We start from the raw sequence: 16268 nt of genomic DNA, 5'->3' as shown, positions 1-16268 counted from the left end.
ATGGTGAGCCTCAGTTTCCTGGTCTGCCATGTGCAGATGACGACATTTACTTTGCAGGACAATTGTGAGAACTAGTGCCCAGCGTGGCTCTTGTCTGGATGCTGATGTTATGACTGGCAGGGCCGGCAGGGCCAGCAGGACTGGGCCACCCCAAGAGCATGGCAGGCCCCTTGGTCAGATTTACTGTAGACAAGGAAAAAGACAAAGGGTCAGGACAGCACTATCTACACTCTTTTGCTTTCACACAGAAATCAATTTGTTCAATGCCTTATTAAGAACAGCAAAATAATAGTGCTGTTCAATAATAAATTCCTTACCACTTAATACTAATGTTGAAAAAAGTTTACAGGAATCCATTGCTTTGGACTAGGCCCCAGCAGACCAGACCAAACCAAAATGAAGTCACTCATGCTAAGTGACACAAAATCACACCAAAATTTTAAGGAAGCAGGTAGAGCCTCAAACAGACCAGTTTTGCCTAAAAACAGTAGATTCATAGCAACCAATTAGAAACAGCCCGGTCTGTCTGAGTCAGTGTCATAATGAAGTTCCTCTTTACAAGAAAAGTGATCTGCTGTTCACCAAAAAGTGTAGTGACCTGCTGTTCATTGATCTGCTTTTTTGATGGCTCCATTTCCTTTTTCCCACCTTCCACAAACTAACCATTCTGCTCTGTCATCCCCAGCAGAACACTCATTCTAATTTATGGAATGAAGTGTTGTCCAATTCTGGAATTCCAAGTAAAAGCCAATTAGATTTTCAAACTAAATTTGTTGTAATTTTGTCTTTTGGCACTAATACCAAAAGACCACCGAATCCTAGGTAAAGCTAATGGACAAAAGGAATCTTTAAGGTCCCATTGGTTTCCCAGCACTTGATTTCTGTAATTTGGCCAAAGCTGACTTATTTCCAGGAGTGTGACTTTCTGGGTGTATGGGTGAAACTCCCACTAAGGGAAGTGGGCACCCTTTAGACAAGAAAACAACAAAGCAGTGGGCAACTGCTTCCTCCACGGGAATGGGGGCAGGTTGGTTTGAATGGCCTCTGAGAAGGAACACCCAGGAGATTCATGCTCCCAGGAAACTGCCTACACTGGGGTATTCAAAACACTTGGAGCTTTACTTTTTCAATGGATGATTTCGTGATTTTTCTGAAGCCATCTAAAACTTCTTACCTGCAATGGAGTGTGCCTAATTTGGAGCAGGTGCTGAGGGTCTCCTCCCCAGCTCAGGAGCAGCATTCCTTGGGGTGTGGTCATGGGACCATCTCCCACAGACACCTGGGGCAAAAGCAGGAGCCCCACTCCAGATGGGGTGGCGGGGAGGGCAGAATCTCTGGGACCAAGCCTGGAATTCTGCATTTTAATGACTTCCCTTCTTCTGTACACTAATGTTTTAGTTGGTTTCCAACCTTGTTCATTCTGCATTAGCTGAGGTCTTATAGAAAGACCTGATGTGAAATATTCCACTAGGGATCCACTGTGTGGCTACTCTCTCTCTGTGTGACACTCACAATAGGCCTCTATATACGTCTAGAATCTCCTTGTCATTGACAGTTTTGTGCAATTGCTCCAAGGACAGGACTAGTGTAAGGGTACCTGGGCTGCAAAATTGAGAAAGTGCTCACTCTTAAGGAGGCACCACTCTCTGGGATGTGCAAGGACGGGGTTCACACCTCAGAATGAGCACCTCCTTAAGCATACCCCAGGCAACCCCTTTGACTCATCCTGTCTCTGTCTTCAGAAAGCCCCCCTCCTTTGCAATGGCTCTTGTTTCTGGATGACTTTTTCTGATGTTGGAGGAACATGACACCCCTTAGTCTACACTACACTCGATATTTTTAGCTAATTCATTCCAGGGCTTGGTAAAGTACTCAACTTTGCTTAGCATTATCCACTATTTCTTTTCAAGGAATCTTGGATCTGTGCAACATAGGCAGTCATGTGTTAGACATATTTAAATGGTCGTAGAATCTTAGAACTGATGGGGTATTGGAGACAGCATAATGGCTCTTTCTTTCACGTTTATCTGCCTTCCTTTCTCAGATCTGCTTTAATTGGGTTTATATGGTATAGTTAATTTTGCATCATGCTTTTCCATCTCAGTGGACATAACCAGGCATTAGGCCCGGGTTTCGATTCTGGCCCCTCCACAGGCTTGGTATAGGATCTGGAGCAGAGGTTCTCAAAGCCCAGTGCCTCAGCTATTCAGGGGTGGGGCTGAGAATCTGCATTTCCAACGACCTTCCAGGCAATACAGATGCTGCTAACCTGGGACCCCGGGTTTAGGAAAAATCCTTAACTTCACAATGAGTCCCAAATGGGAAGACAATTCCTTAATCATGGGGTTTTTGCCTAGATCAAATGAGACAACGTGTGAGAGCCTCATCTAACAGGTGATCCACACCTGGTCCCCTTATTCCAAGCTCTCGTCCAAGACAAGGTCCCCAACATGTGGGCTTCCATTCTCACCTTCAGAACTTGGGTCAGGTTCTCCCGGAGCAGCCCTTGAGATGAGGGTTTGTTAAGGAAGCGCTCCCAGGAGAAACCAGTGGGGGTAGAGAAAAGAGAGCAGGGAAGGATTTCAGGCAAAGTCCTGCAGAGCTCGGTCAGCGACTCCCCAGGCGGCTCTGGAGGCTGTTTCCTCTCAGAGCACAGAGGAGGCACAGTAGGGAGCAAAGCACCTCCAGAGTAGGCAGAGTGGAGCTTTCCTGCAGGCTGAAAGGACCCTGGGTCTGGAAGAGGCCCCTCACTACACAGTCGCCTGCTGGAGTAGGGGGCGGTGCAGGTGGAGGGCAGTGGGTGCCTCTGTAAGCGGCAGGGCGGAGGCTCCAGCCAGTGAAGGGGACTCCAAAGACTGCATGCCCAAGGGCAGGGAGTAAGGGGAGATATGCAGAGAGACAGGGAGAGAGAGAAAGAGAGACACACATTTGGACACACACATACAAACACACAGAGAAAGAGAGAGAGAACCACACAGCTGACGTGAGGAGACGGCGTCAAAAGACCACAGGAAACCTGGCCCCCCTCTTCCTTCCTCCCACCCAGCCCTGGAGGGTGCAGGGGTGGCAGATTGGCGAAGGGAGGGGCAGCAGCTGGGGAGGAAAGGCCACACACACACAGACACACAGAGACGCTCACAGAGACATCCACACAGAGACACACAGAGGCACAGACACAGAGACACACAGAGAGAGACACAGAGACACACACAGAGAGAGACACATGCAGACACACAGAGAGACACACACACAGACACAGGGAGACACACAGACACAGGGAGACACACAGAGACACATACACAGAGACACACACACAGAGACACACAGAGAGAGACACATGCAGACACACAGAGAGACACACACACAGACACAGGGAGACACACAGACACAGAGAGACACATAGAGGCACATACACAGAGACACACAGAGACACAGACACAGAGACACACAGAGACACAGACACAGAGACACACAGAGAGAGACACACAGAGACACACACACACAGACACACACAGAGACACACAGACACACAGACACAGAGAGACACACAGACACACACACACAGAGATACACAGAGACACAGACACAGAAACACTCTGAGAGAGACACACACAGAGAGACACACACATGCAGACACAGAGAGACACACAGACACACACACACAGAGGCACAGCACAGAAACACAGAGAGAGACACACAGAGACATACACAGAGACACACAGAGAGACTGACACACGCAGACACACAGAGACACACAGAGATACACACAGAGACACACACACAGAGACACACAGAGAAGGATCCACACAGAGACAGAGAGACACATACATACACATATATACTGACATACATACATACACAGAGAGACACACACACACTCATACACAGAAACACACAGAGACACAAAGAAAGACACACATACATGAACATATATACTCACACACACACATCCATAAGGACATACACTCATACATAGAGACACAGAGAGAAACACATACATGCACATATATACTTACACTCTCACAAACAGATACATACACACACACACAGAGAGATACATAAACAGAGAGATACACATACATACACACACACATACACACATACATATACTCACAGACACACACACATACTCACACTCATACACAGAAACACACACATACACACACACAGAGAAAGAGAGAGAGAACCACACAGCTGACATGAGGGGATGGCGTAGAGACCACAGGAAACCTGGTACAACAGTAGAAGGCCTCTGCGCCCCCCTCCTCCTTCCTCCCACCCAGCCCTGGAGGGTGCAGGGGTGGCAGACAGGTGAGGGGAGGCACAGGAGCTGGGGAGGAAAGGCCACATCACATCCCACTTCCCCCTGGGTGGAGGGAAGAAGATTTTAACTGGATGAAAGAGGCAGATTTTGATTTAGAGCACACAAGACTTTTTAATACTTTGAAAATGCATGATCAAATCCCTGAAAGGAACCGAAAAAACTGGTTTGTGTCCAAATGTTGTTCAGGAGCAAGGAAGAGAGGTCAGATGTTCCATTCCTGAAGCTAGTGGCTGAAGGGAAAAACAGAAAGTCATTTTTTGTTTGTACCTTGGAGTCTAGCTCATTTAGTATGCCAATTAGACATAACTTTTAATGACACCAAAATATTCAGTTTGCCCTGATTTATTTAATTATTTCCCTATGGTTGGATGACATTTGAATTCTAAATTGTGTTCTTTTTTATTTATTTTTTGCTCTTAAAGATAATACTGTAAAGCCTGTACACAAATGTTCATGGCAGCCAAAGACTGGAAACAACTCAAGTATCCTTTAGCAGGTGAACATTGAAAAGTGGTGGTACCTCCATCCCCCGGAACCCTCCTCAGCAGCAAAAAGGAACAAACTGTCCATGCACAGCTGGGGTGATCTCGAGGGGATTTTGCTGAGTAAAATAAGCCAGTCCCAAGGGTTATGTCCTGTCCGATTCCATTTATATGACATTCCTGAAATGACATAATGAGAGGGATGGAGAACAGATTAGTGGCCGCCAGGGCTCAGGGTGGAGGGGGAGGAAGGCTGTGAACCACAAGGGATCCCTATGATATCTTTGTTGTGGTGGTGGTCTCTCTAATCTACACATGATGAAATGGCATTGAATTACACACATGCACACACGTAAGTACATGTAAAGCAGGGGAAATGTGAATAACATGAAGGTGTCAGTGCCCGTTTCCTGGTTGTGATTCTGTGTTACAGTTACACAAGACGTTCCTACCGGGGGAAGCTGGGTGAAGGGTACAAGGATCCCTGTACTGTATTTTATAACCGCACATGAATCTCAACCTTCTCAAAATAAAAAGTTAAAACAATAAATTTGTCTAACTAGAAAATGTGAATCAATGCAAAACATGTATTAGATAATGAGGTAAACGTACTTGGGACAAAGCTAATACTGTGTTGATTGCTCCCGTATTTTCACCTGGGTGCTGCTCTAAATTCTTTTTTAGGATACATTTGTAGAAATGGAATTATTGAATCAAAAGGTATAAATTTTAAGCCTCCTAATGCATCAAATTGTTTTCGGAAAATTTGCGCAATTTATTTGCATCCCTCAGAATTTATTTTATCCTGCCACCAGCAATATTGAATCATCACATTCAATATTGAATCATCACATTCAATATTGAATCATCACATTCAATATTGAATCATCACATTCAATATTGAATCATCACATTCAATATTAAAAACAAGAACAAAAATAACTCCCTTTCTCCTTGCCAGTTCCATATGTGCTGGACAATATCTCATTGTTTTAATTCCCACCTCACTGATTACCGGTGTGGCTGAACATTTAAAAAATATATTTATGGCTTATCGGACATTTTGCTTTTGTATATAACCCACATTTCTATTGATGTCTTGATTCACAGTAAGTTTTTTTCTTAGTTTGTAATTAATTTTCTTTTAATTTTTAATAGTCTTAATAAGACTATTGCCCTCTTATCATATTTGTTGAAAATATTCCTTTCCAGTTTGTCCTTTCTATTTTTGAATGTGGCATTTTTGATATAATCTATATGTGATATATGGACACAGATTATATGGCTTATCAGTATTTTCCTTTGTGGTATTTTTTTAATTAATTAATTAATTTATTTATTTATTTTTATTATTATACTTTAAGTTTTAGGGTACATGTGCACAATGTGCAAGTTAGTTACATATGTATACATGTGACATGCTGGTGTGCTGCACCCACTAACTCATCATCTAGCATTAGGTATATCTCCCAATGTTATCCCTCCCCACTCCCCCCACCCCACAACAGTCCCCAGAGTGTGATATTCCCCTTCCTGGGTCCATGTGTTCTCATTGTTCAATTCCCACCTATGAGTGAGAATATGCGGTGTTTGGTTTTTTGTTCTTGCGATAGTTTACTGAGAATGATGATTTCCAATTTCATCCATGTCCCTATAAAGGACATGAACTCATCATTTTTTATGGCTGCATAGTATTCCATGGTGTGTATGTGCCACATTTTCTTAATCAAGTCTATCATTGTTGGACATTTGGGTTGGTTCCAAGTCTTTGCTATTGTGAATAATGCCGCAATAAACATACGTGTGCATGTGTCTTTATAGCAGCATGATTTATAGTCCTTTGGGTATATACCCAGTAATGGGATGGCTGGGTCAAATGGTATTTCTAGTTCTAGATCCCTGAGGAATCGCCACACTGACTTCCACAATGGTTCAACTAGTTTACAGTCCCACCAACAGCGTAAAAGTGTTCCTATTTCTTCACATCCTCTCCAGCACCTGTTGTTTCCTGATTTTTTAATGATTGCCATTCTAACTGGTGTGAGATGGTATCTCATTGTGGTTTTGATTTGCATGTCTCTGATGGCCAGTGATGGTGAGCATTTTTTCATGTGTTTTTTGGCTGCATAAATGTCTTCTTTTGAGAAGTGTCTGTTCATGTCCTTTGCCCACTTTTTGATGGGGTTGTTTGTTTTTTTCTTGTAAATTTGTTTGAGTTCTTTGTAGATTCTGGATATTAGCCCTTTGTCAGATGAGTAGGTTGTGAAAATTTTCTCCCATTTTGTAGGTTGCCTGTTCACTCTGATGGTAGTTTCTTTTGCTGTGCAGAAGCTCTTTAGTTTAATTAGATCCCATTTGTCAATTTTGGCTTTTGTTGCCATTGCTTTTGGTGTTTTAGACATGAAGTCCTTGCCCATGCCTATGTCCTGAATGGTAAAGCCTAGATTTTCTTCTAGGGTTTTTATGGTTTTAGGTCTAACGTTTATGTCTTTAATCCATCTTGAATTGATTTTTGTATAAGGTGTAAGGAAGGGATCCAGTTTCAGCTTTCTACATATGGCTAGCCAGTTTTCCCAGCACCATTTATTAAATAGGGAATCATTTCCCCATTGCTTGTTTTTCTCAGGTTTGTCAAAGATCAGATAGTTGTAGATATGCAGCATTATTTCTGAGGGCTCTGTTCTGTTCCATTGATCTATATCTCTGTTTTGGTACCAGTACCATGCTGTTTTGGTTACTGTAGCCTTGTAGTATAGTTTGAAGTCAGGCAGTGTGATGCCTCCAGCTTTGTTCTTTTGGCTTAGGATTGACTTGGTGATGCGGGCTCTTTTTTGGTTCCATATGAACTTTAAAGTAGTTTTTTCCAATTCTGTGAAGAAAATCATTGGTAGCTTGATGGGGATGGCATTGAATCTGTAAATTACCTTGGGCAGTATGGCCATTTTCATGTATTGATTCTTCCTACCCATGAGCATGGAATGTTCTTCCATTTGTTTGTATCCTCTTTTATTTCCTTGAGCAGTGGTTTGTAGTTCTCCTTGAAGAGGTCCTTCACATCCCTTGTAAGTTGGATTCCTAGGTATTTTATTCTCTTTGAAGTAATTGTGAATGGGAGTTCATTCATGATTTGGCTCTCTGTTTGTCTGTTATTGGTGTATAAGAATGCTTGTGATTTTTGTACATTGATTTTGTATCCTGAGACTTTGCTGAAGTTGCTTATCAGCTTAAGGAGATTTTGGGCTGAGACGATGGGGTTTTCTAGATATACAATCATGTCATCTGCAAACAGGGACAATTTGACTTCCTCTTTTCCTAATTGAATACCCTTTATTTCCTTCTCCTGCCTAATTGCCCTGGCCAGAACTTCCAACACTATGTTGAATAGGAGTGGTAAGAGAGGGCATCCCTGTCTTGTGCCAGTTTTCAATGGGAATGCTTCCAGTTTTTGCCCATTCAGTATGATATTGGCTGTGGGTTTGTCATAGATAGCTCTTATTATTTTGAAATACGTCCCATCAATACCTAATTTATTGAGAGTTTTTAGCATGAAGAGTTGTTGAATTTTGTCAAAGGCCTTTTCTGCATCTATTGAGATAATCATGTGGTTTTTGTGTTTGGTTCTCTTTATATGCTGGATTACCTTTATTGATTTGCATATGTTGAACCAGCCTTGCATCCCAGGGATGAAGCCCACTTGATCATGGTGGATAAGCTTTTTGATGTGCTGCTGGATTCGGTTTGCCAGTATTTTATTGAGGATTTTTACATCAATGTTCCTCAAGGATATTGGTCTAAAATTCTCTTTTTTGGTTGTGTCTCTGCCCGGCTTTGGTATCAGCATGATGCTGGCCTCATAAAATGAGTTAGGGAGGATTCCCTCTTTTTCTATTGATAAGAATAGTTTCAGAAAGAATGGTACCATTTCCTCCTTGTACCTCTGGTAGAATTCAGCTGTGAATCCATCTGGTCCTGGACTCTTTTTGATTGGCAAGCTATTGATTATTGCCACAATTTCAGCTCCTGTTATTGGTCTATTCAGAGATTCAACTTCTTCCTGGTTTAGTCTTGGGAGAGTGTATGTGTCAAGGAATTTATCCATTTCTTCTAGATTTTCTAGTTTATTTGAGTAGAGGTGTTTGTAGTATTCTCTGATGGTAGTTTGTATTTCTGTGGGATTGGTGGTGATATCCCCTTTATCATTTTTTATTACACCTATTTGATTCTTCTCTCTTTTTTTCTTTATTTTTCTTGCTAGCGATCTATCAATTTTGTTGATCCTTTCAAAAATCAGCTCCTGGATTCATTAATTTTTTGAAAGGTTTTTTGTGTCTCTATTTCCTTCAGTTCTGCTCTGATTTTAGTTATTTCTTGCCTTCTGCTAGCTTTTGAATGTGTTTGCTCTTGCTTTTCTAGTTCTTTTAATTGTGATGTTAGGGTGTCAATTTTGGATCTTTCCTGCTTTCTCTTGTGGGCATTTAGTGCTATTAATTTCCCTCTACACACTGCTTTGAATGTGTCCCAAAGATTCTGGTATGTTGTGTGTTTGTTCTCATTGGTTTCAAAGAACATCTTTATTTCTGCCTTCATTTTATTATGTACCCAGTAGTCATTCAGGAGCAGGTTGTTCAGTTTCCATGTAGTTGAGCAGTTTTGAGTGAGATTCTTAATCCTGAGTTCTAGTTTGATTGCACTGTGGTCTGAGAGACAGTTTGTTATAGTTTATGTTCTTTTACATTTGCTGAGGAGAGCTTTACTTCCAAGTATGTGGTCAATTTTGGAATAGGTGTGGTGTGGTGCTGAAACTAATGTATATTCTGTTGATTTGGGGTGGAGAGTTCTGTAGATGTCTATTAGGTCCACTTGGTGCAGAGCTGAGTTCAATTCCTGGGTATCCTTGTTGACTTTCTGTATCTTTGATCTGTCTAATGTTGACAGTGGGGTGTTAAAGTCTCCCATTATTAATGTGTGGGAGTCTAAGTCTCTTTGTAGGTCACTCAGGACTTGCTTTATGTATCTGGGTGCTCCTGTATTGGGTGCATATATATTTAGGATAGTTAGCTCTTCTTGTTGAATTGATCCCTTTACCATTATGTAATGGCCTTCTTTGTCTCTTTTGATCTTTGTTGGTTTAAAGTCTGTTTCATCAGAGACTAGGATTGCAACCCCTGCCTTTTTTTGTTTTCCATTTGCTTGGTAGATCTTCCTCCATCCTTTTATTTTGAGCCTATATGTGTCTCTGCACGTGAGATGGGTTTCCTGAATACAGCACACTGATGGGTCTTGACTCTTTATCCAATTTGCCAGTCTGTGTCTTTTAATTGGAGCATTTAGTCCATTTACATTTAAAGTTAATATTGTTATGTGTGAATTTGATCCTGTCATTATGATGTTAGCTGGTTATTTTGCTCATTAGTTGATGCAGTTTCTTCCTAGTCTCGATGGTCTTTACATTTTGGCATGATTTTGCAGCGGCTGGTACTGGTTGTTCCTTTCCATGTTTAGTGCTTCCTTCAGGAGCTCTTTTAGAACAGGCCTGGTGGTGACAAAATCTCTCAGCATTTGCTTGTCTGTAAAGTATTTTATTTCTCCTTCACTTATGAAGCTTAGTTTGGCTGGATATGAAATTCTGGGTTGAAAATTCTTTTCTTTAAGAATGTTGAATATTGGCCCCCACTCTCTTCTGGCTTGTAGAGTTTCTGCCAACAGATCCGCTGTTAGTCTGATGGGCTTCCCTTTGAGGGTAACCCAACCTTTCTCTCTGGCTGCCCTTAACATTTTTTCCTTCATTTCAACTTTGGTGAATCTGACAATTATGTGTCTTGGAGTTGCTCTTCTCGAGGAGTATCTTTGTGGCGTTCTCTGTATTTCCTGAATCTGAATGTTGGCCTGCCTTGCTAGATTGGGGAAGTTCTCCTGGATAATATCCTGCAGAGTGTTTTCCTACTTGGTTCTATTCTCCCTGTCACTTTCAGGTACACCAATCAGATGTAGATTTGGTCTTTTCACATAGTCCCATATTTCTTGGAGGCTTTGTTCGTTTCTTTTTATTCTTTTTTCTCTAAACTTCCCTTCTCGCTTCATTTCATTCATTCATTTCATCTTCTATCACAGATACCCTTTCTTCCAGTTGATTGCATCAGCTCCTGAGTCTTCTGCATTCTTTATGTAGTTCTCGAGCCTTGGTTTTCAGCTCCATCAGCTCCTTTAAGCACTTCTCTGTATTGGTTATTCTAGTTATACATTCTTCTAAATTTTTTTCAAAGTTTTCAACTTCTTTGCCTTTGGTTTGAATGTCCTCCTGTAGCTCGGAGTAATTTGATCGTCTGAAGCCTTCTTCTCTCAGCTCGTCAAAGTCATTCTTCGTCCAGCTTTGTTCTGTTACTGGTGAGGAACTGCGTTCCTTTGGAGGAGGAGAGGTGCTCTGCTTTTTAGAGTTTCCAGTTTTTCTGCTCTGTTTTTTCTCCATCTTTGTGGTTTTATCTACTTTTGGTCTTTGATGATGGTGATGTACAGATGGGTTTTTGGTGTGGATGTCCTTTCTGTTTGTTAGTTTTCCTTCTAACAGACAGGACCCTCAGCTGCAGGTCTGTTGGAGCCGTGTGAGGTGTCAGTCTGCCCCTGCTGGGGGGTGCTTCCTAGTTAGGCTCCTCGGGGGTCAGGGGTCAGGGACCCACTTGAGGAGGCAGTCTGCCCGTTCTCAGATCTCCAGCTGCATGCTGGGAGAACCACTGCTCTCTTCAAAGCTCAGATGGAAATGCAGAAACCACCCATCTTCTGCGTCGCTCATGCTGGGAGCTGTAGACTGGAGCTGTTCGTATTCAGCCATCTTGGCTCCTCCCCCTCTTTGTGGTATTTTTATTGCTAATCTTAGAGGTGCCTCCTCTGTCCCAGTATCAGTAATTATTGAATTGTATTTACTTCTTTTATCTAAGGTTTCCTTTATAAATAAAAATACCATTTGATGACTAATCTATTCCATTCCCCTTGGGTGTCATGTTCCCTTTGTCATCTTGTTAGTTCTTATATTTTTTTGAGATTTCTTTCTGTGCCTATTTAGTTTGTTGCATTGATCTGTTTGCAAATTATTCCGCCAATAAAACACTTAATTGTTAGAACTTTAGAATACACTTTAAAATTTGGCAGAACAATTCCCCATTTAAAAAAATACTTCCAACTTTTCTCCCTTGTTTATTTTTTAAAGTTTAGAATTATTTCATAAATATTTGTTTCATTAAGAAATTCCACTGGTATATTGATAGTAATTGTAGTAACTATTTAATTGGAAATCAATGAACATTCATTTATTTGTGCCTATTTCAGAGACCCTACGGCAACTTTGCAATATACTTGCAATTTCTTTTCTCCATTTATTAAAATATTACTTTATATATTTCAATAAACTTTTGTCATTTCTTTATGTTGATTACACACATGTATTATAATAGTTATTTCTGGTTATTTTATGCTTTAAAAATCCATTTTGAAGAAGTCATTGTTATTAGGCCTTTTTAGTAATTATTGCTGGTGTTTAGTGATATTCTTGATTTATGTTTATTTCTCTTGCACCTGATAATCTTATTGATTTAAACAGTTTTTTAGGTCAAACCTCTTGAGTCTTCTTAGTTTATAACCATATTGTCTGCAAATAACACAATGCTGTCTCTCCTTTCTTGGAATCATTCCACATCTGTCACCCCACACCGTACTGTACCAGCCTGAACTTCTGATTCAGTGTTCGCTAATGCTGATGATAGCAGTGTGTCTCTTTTTATACGCTTTATTTCAAAGGTAATGAAGCTGTGCATTAATGGATTAAATATTCCTTTGGAAGGTTGTCTTTTGCTCTTCCAGAATCTACCATTCAATTTTTTAAAGTGAAAAGAATGTTATCTTTGTGTGTGGTTTCATCAAATGTCTTTTCAGCATCTGTTAACATCATCATTTTATAATCCATGCCAAATATGTATTACTAGGTTTCCTAATTTTTAATCAAATAAAATCACCTTGATCAAAGTAGAAGTTATTTTATTGTGTTATCATATTTGATTTGCTAGTATTTTTGCCAGAACTGGGTATGTAGTTTGCCAATCCCTGAGCAAAACGACAATGTGGAACCTCTTGTTCAAAGATTAAGAATTTCAAGATGGTGATGGCAGAGTATTAAACCAAGTACAGAGCCCCTCTTGTGTCACTGCACAGACAGCATATTCATGAAGCTGGCCCTGAGTTTTGCATTCACATTCATACATGAAGCTGAAATTGGTCCATCGTAGCTTTTTCGTGGTGTCTTGGTCAAGTTTTGATATCTGATTTATGTTCATTTCCGAAATTGAATAGGATGACTAACCGTATTTTTCATCCTCTGGGAGAGTTTCTTTGGCATGATGACTGACTGTGGCTTGGAAATGTGAAAGGGGACATCCAGGCATGGCCCTGTGGCCATGGGTCATCTTTGTGAAGATACTTTACAATTAAAGTAAAGTAAATTAAAAAAAATCTTTTGATGGGAATATTGTCTATCCCCTGACTCCCAGGTCCCTAATTTTCTAAAGCCAGTTTTAACCATTTGCTCTTTTTCCAGAAAATTAAGCAATTTATCTGTATGTTTGCACTTTTTGCAATAAATTTCAATACAAGCTTTCATAATAATATTTGTAATTCTCTTACATGGGTTACATCCCACATAACATGACTGGTTATTTTTATTTGTATAACTCTCCCCCCCCACCACTTTGTTTTTGGTTAGCTTTACTAGATATTTCTCTATTTTGCAGTGATTCTCCTCCAGCTCCCTCTCTCCATCCCCCGCTCCCACCCCCACACACATGAAAAGCCAGTTTGTGGAGGATTTATTGATGACGTCCTCTTAGCATGGGGCGTTTTCCAACTATTCTATTTGATTTGCTCTTGGAATTGATTTTTGCTTTTATCTTTGTTGTTTCCCTCTACCTGTCCTACTTAGCCTTGCTTTTGTTTTCTTTTTCCTGCTAACTTCTCATGCTCTTGACTCATACTTTTTAATATAATGAAAGCTCTTCAGATTATGAACTTATTTCTGCTTCTACTTCGGGCCACACTCCATATTCTTTGAAATCCAGTGTTTTTGTTTCTACTGTTTATTCCCAAGAGTCTGTAATTGCAACTGTGACCTCTATGATTCAAGAGTTAGTTAAGAACACGCTTCCCTTTTCTCTTTAATTTCCAGGGGAAGTGAAAGATCTCATCTGCTCGTTTAAACTTTGTTATCAACTTTTATTATTGTATTTCTGTTTTAGAATATTGCATGGAAAATTTCTGGTTTTTAGGTTTTTATTTCTTCTTTTATAAATGTCTCAGGATGCTCAATAACCAGGAGTATTGTCTATAGGGCACAGAGTCTAGATTCTACTTGTTGATCCAATCTTATTAATTATAATTCTCATAATTTCTATGTCCCTTTTTTGTTAACTACTTGATTTTTCAGCAGTTAGAAGGCATGTGTTAAAACCTATTGCAGTCACGATTTCCCCTTCCAGTCCTTTCTTCCACACTCCTTGCAGGGCTCTCTATCTTCTGATGCCTGTGACTCTCACTGTGAAGTCTTATGAATGCTACATTGTCATTGCAAATGGCTTCTTTTGTTAGCTGCGATGTCCCTCTCTAAAGTGGTTTTCCCTAACGCTAGGCGCCTTCTGTGTTCTACAGTGTGCTCCCCACCTTTACGATCCACTGGTTTACTCGTTTGTCTCTGCCTTAGCTCTGCACTGTCCATCTCCCCGGTCTCCTGAGGCATCCTGAAGGCAGGGCCTGCCTGCTCGCTCACCGCTTTCTCCCTGAAGCCCGTGAGACACTCAATGCATGTGCAGTTCAGAAACGGTCAGGAATGGTCTTCTTGGTCTTGTTAAATGGTTTTCTCACCTGAAGCTTTGTTTCATCTGAAAACAATCTGATGCCTCGGCATTTTCTTTCCTTCCCCTCCCCTTGCCAGGCAGGAGAGTGGGTGCCCATCCTGTCTTCATGGCCACTCCACCTTCCGTTCTGTCTGCTCCTTCTGCCCACTGGCTCTGCCATTGCTTCTCTGGTCCCTGTGGGCTGCCGGGCAGAGTGCAGGGGCACTGGGCTGGGAGCAGGAGGACAAGTCATGAAGCCAGCCCCGGGATACCAGCCAGCTCGTTGACCCTCAGCTCCTGCTCTGCAATGAGGACACGTGAGATAATGCGTGTGAGATGCTGAGCCCAGGGACACAGCGCTGGCTGCCTTCCAGCCCCAGCCTTTAGGGGAAAACAACAATAAAAATGTCACCTGCTAGACGCTTGTTAACTGACCGTGGGTGGGTTTGAGGTCTTGAGATTGTTGGCCGTTAGATCCGCCAAATGCCACCCCTGGGCCCCCAAAGAGGGACATAAGTGCCATCCTAGCACCAGGGACTGACCCGACACTGGGATACATAACTCATGCGCCCATTAGCATGTCAGGGCATCTGCCCTCCACACAGGTGGCAAAGCGATAGTGATGGTTATCTTTGTTTTCTCGTTGGGGACGAGGTTAAGACGTATGTCCTATGTCACGCAGTGAGTTGGTAGGGAAGCCGGTTATTAACATCTTCAATTAACTCAGGGCTCTGCTTTGCAAAAGCCCCACGTCCTCTCCTCTCTCCTGATTTCTGGCTTGTATCTGCAGCACCACATGCAGTGGAGAACCCAGGTCATGTCTGACACACAGAGGCTGCAGGCATCTCATTGCTTCTTGGGAAGACAGTGGACAGGCCTTCTGATTCCCACTTTCAGGAGGCCTGAAACCCAGGTGGGTTCTGGACTTCTCTCGGGTACCAGAGAGGGGAGACAGTGTCAGAACTGAGACGAAGGGACCAGGAGTCTCAGGCCCCTGCAGTATGAAGTGCTCTAACACCTAGCCTTTCCTGGCCAAACTACCCTCATCCTCAGGCCCCTGGACCTGACCCTGTGTGGCAGCCTCTCTGAATAGGGTTTCTTTCCTGACTCTTGACAAGGGAGGCCTCTCCTGCTGTCCTGAGTTCTGCTGCCCTGACTAAAGTCAGGTGTGAACCCTGACTGAGAAAGGGCCTCTCTCTAGGCCTGGTGTACTTGGGACTGTCCTGGAAGAGGAGGACATCCCTGGACCTTACGTGGACATGGCCAAATTCAGTGTCCTCTCCTTCCTCCCGCCCCACTGCATCTCTTCTCCATGGCTGCTGGTCCCTCTCCTGGAAGTGTCTAACCTACTCCAAGGCCAAGTACCTTGACAACAAGAAGTCACTGTGCATTTTCCACTCCCAGGCTCTATTTGTTTATTTCTCTGTGCTTCTCACTGACGCAAACCACAGCCTTCAGTTCCAGAGTCTTACAGACAAACGCCTGACCAGAGCCCACAAGAGCACAGCCTTGCTCTCAGTCCTGAGCCTGGCCCTCCTAGGTTGGAGCAGCTGGGCCCAGCCTGTCCCAACCCAGGGAGCCACAGGGATCTAA

At 42.2% G+C, this 16268-nt stretch overlaps 2 annotated features.

Annotated features, from left to right (window-relative positions):
- Window positions 2788-3316: an enhancer, noted in NCBI's record as "H3K4me1 hESC enhancer chr10:50462512-50463040 (GRCh37/hg19 assembly coordinates)". NCBI's record gives its function as "activates a minimal SCP1, AML or CMV promoter by ChIP-STARR-seq in primed H9 embryonic stem cells {active_cell/tissue: H9 hESC(primed)}" and the evidence as "EXISTENCE:reporter gene assay evidence [ECO:0000049][PMID:30033119]".
- Window positions 14111-14782: an enhancer, noted in NCBI's record as "OCT4-NANOG-H3K4me1 hESC enhancer chr10:50451046-50451717 (GRCh37/hg19 assembly coordinates)". NCBI's record gives its function as "activates a minimal SCP1, AML or CMV promoter by ChIP-STARR-seq in naive H9 embryonic stem cells {active_cell/tissue: H9 hESC(naive)}" and the evidence as "EXISTENCE:reporter gene assay evidence [ECO:0000049][PMID:30033119]".

This window comes from Homo sapiens, chromosome 10 (assembly GCF_000001405.40).
Source record: "Homo sapiens chromosome 10, GRCh38.p14 Primary Assembly".
Taxonomy (NCBI): domain Eukaryota; kingdom Metazoa; phylum Chordata; class Mammalia; order Primates; family Hominidae; genus Homo; species Homo sapiens.
The sequence above is the reverse complement of the archived record's forward strand: the minus strand, read 5'-3'. Positions and strand labels throughout refer to the sequence as shown.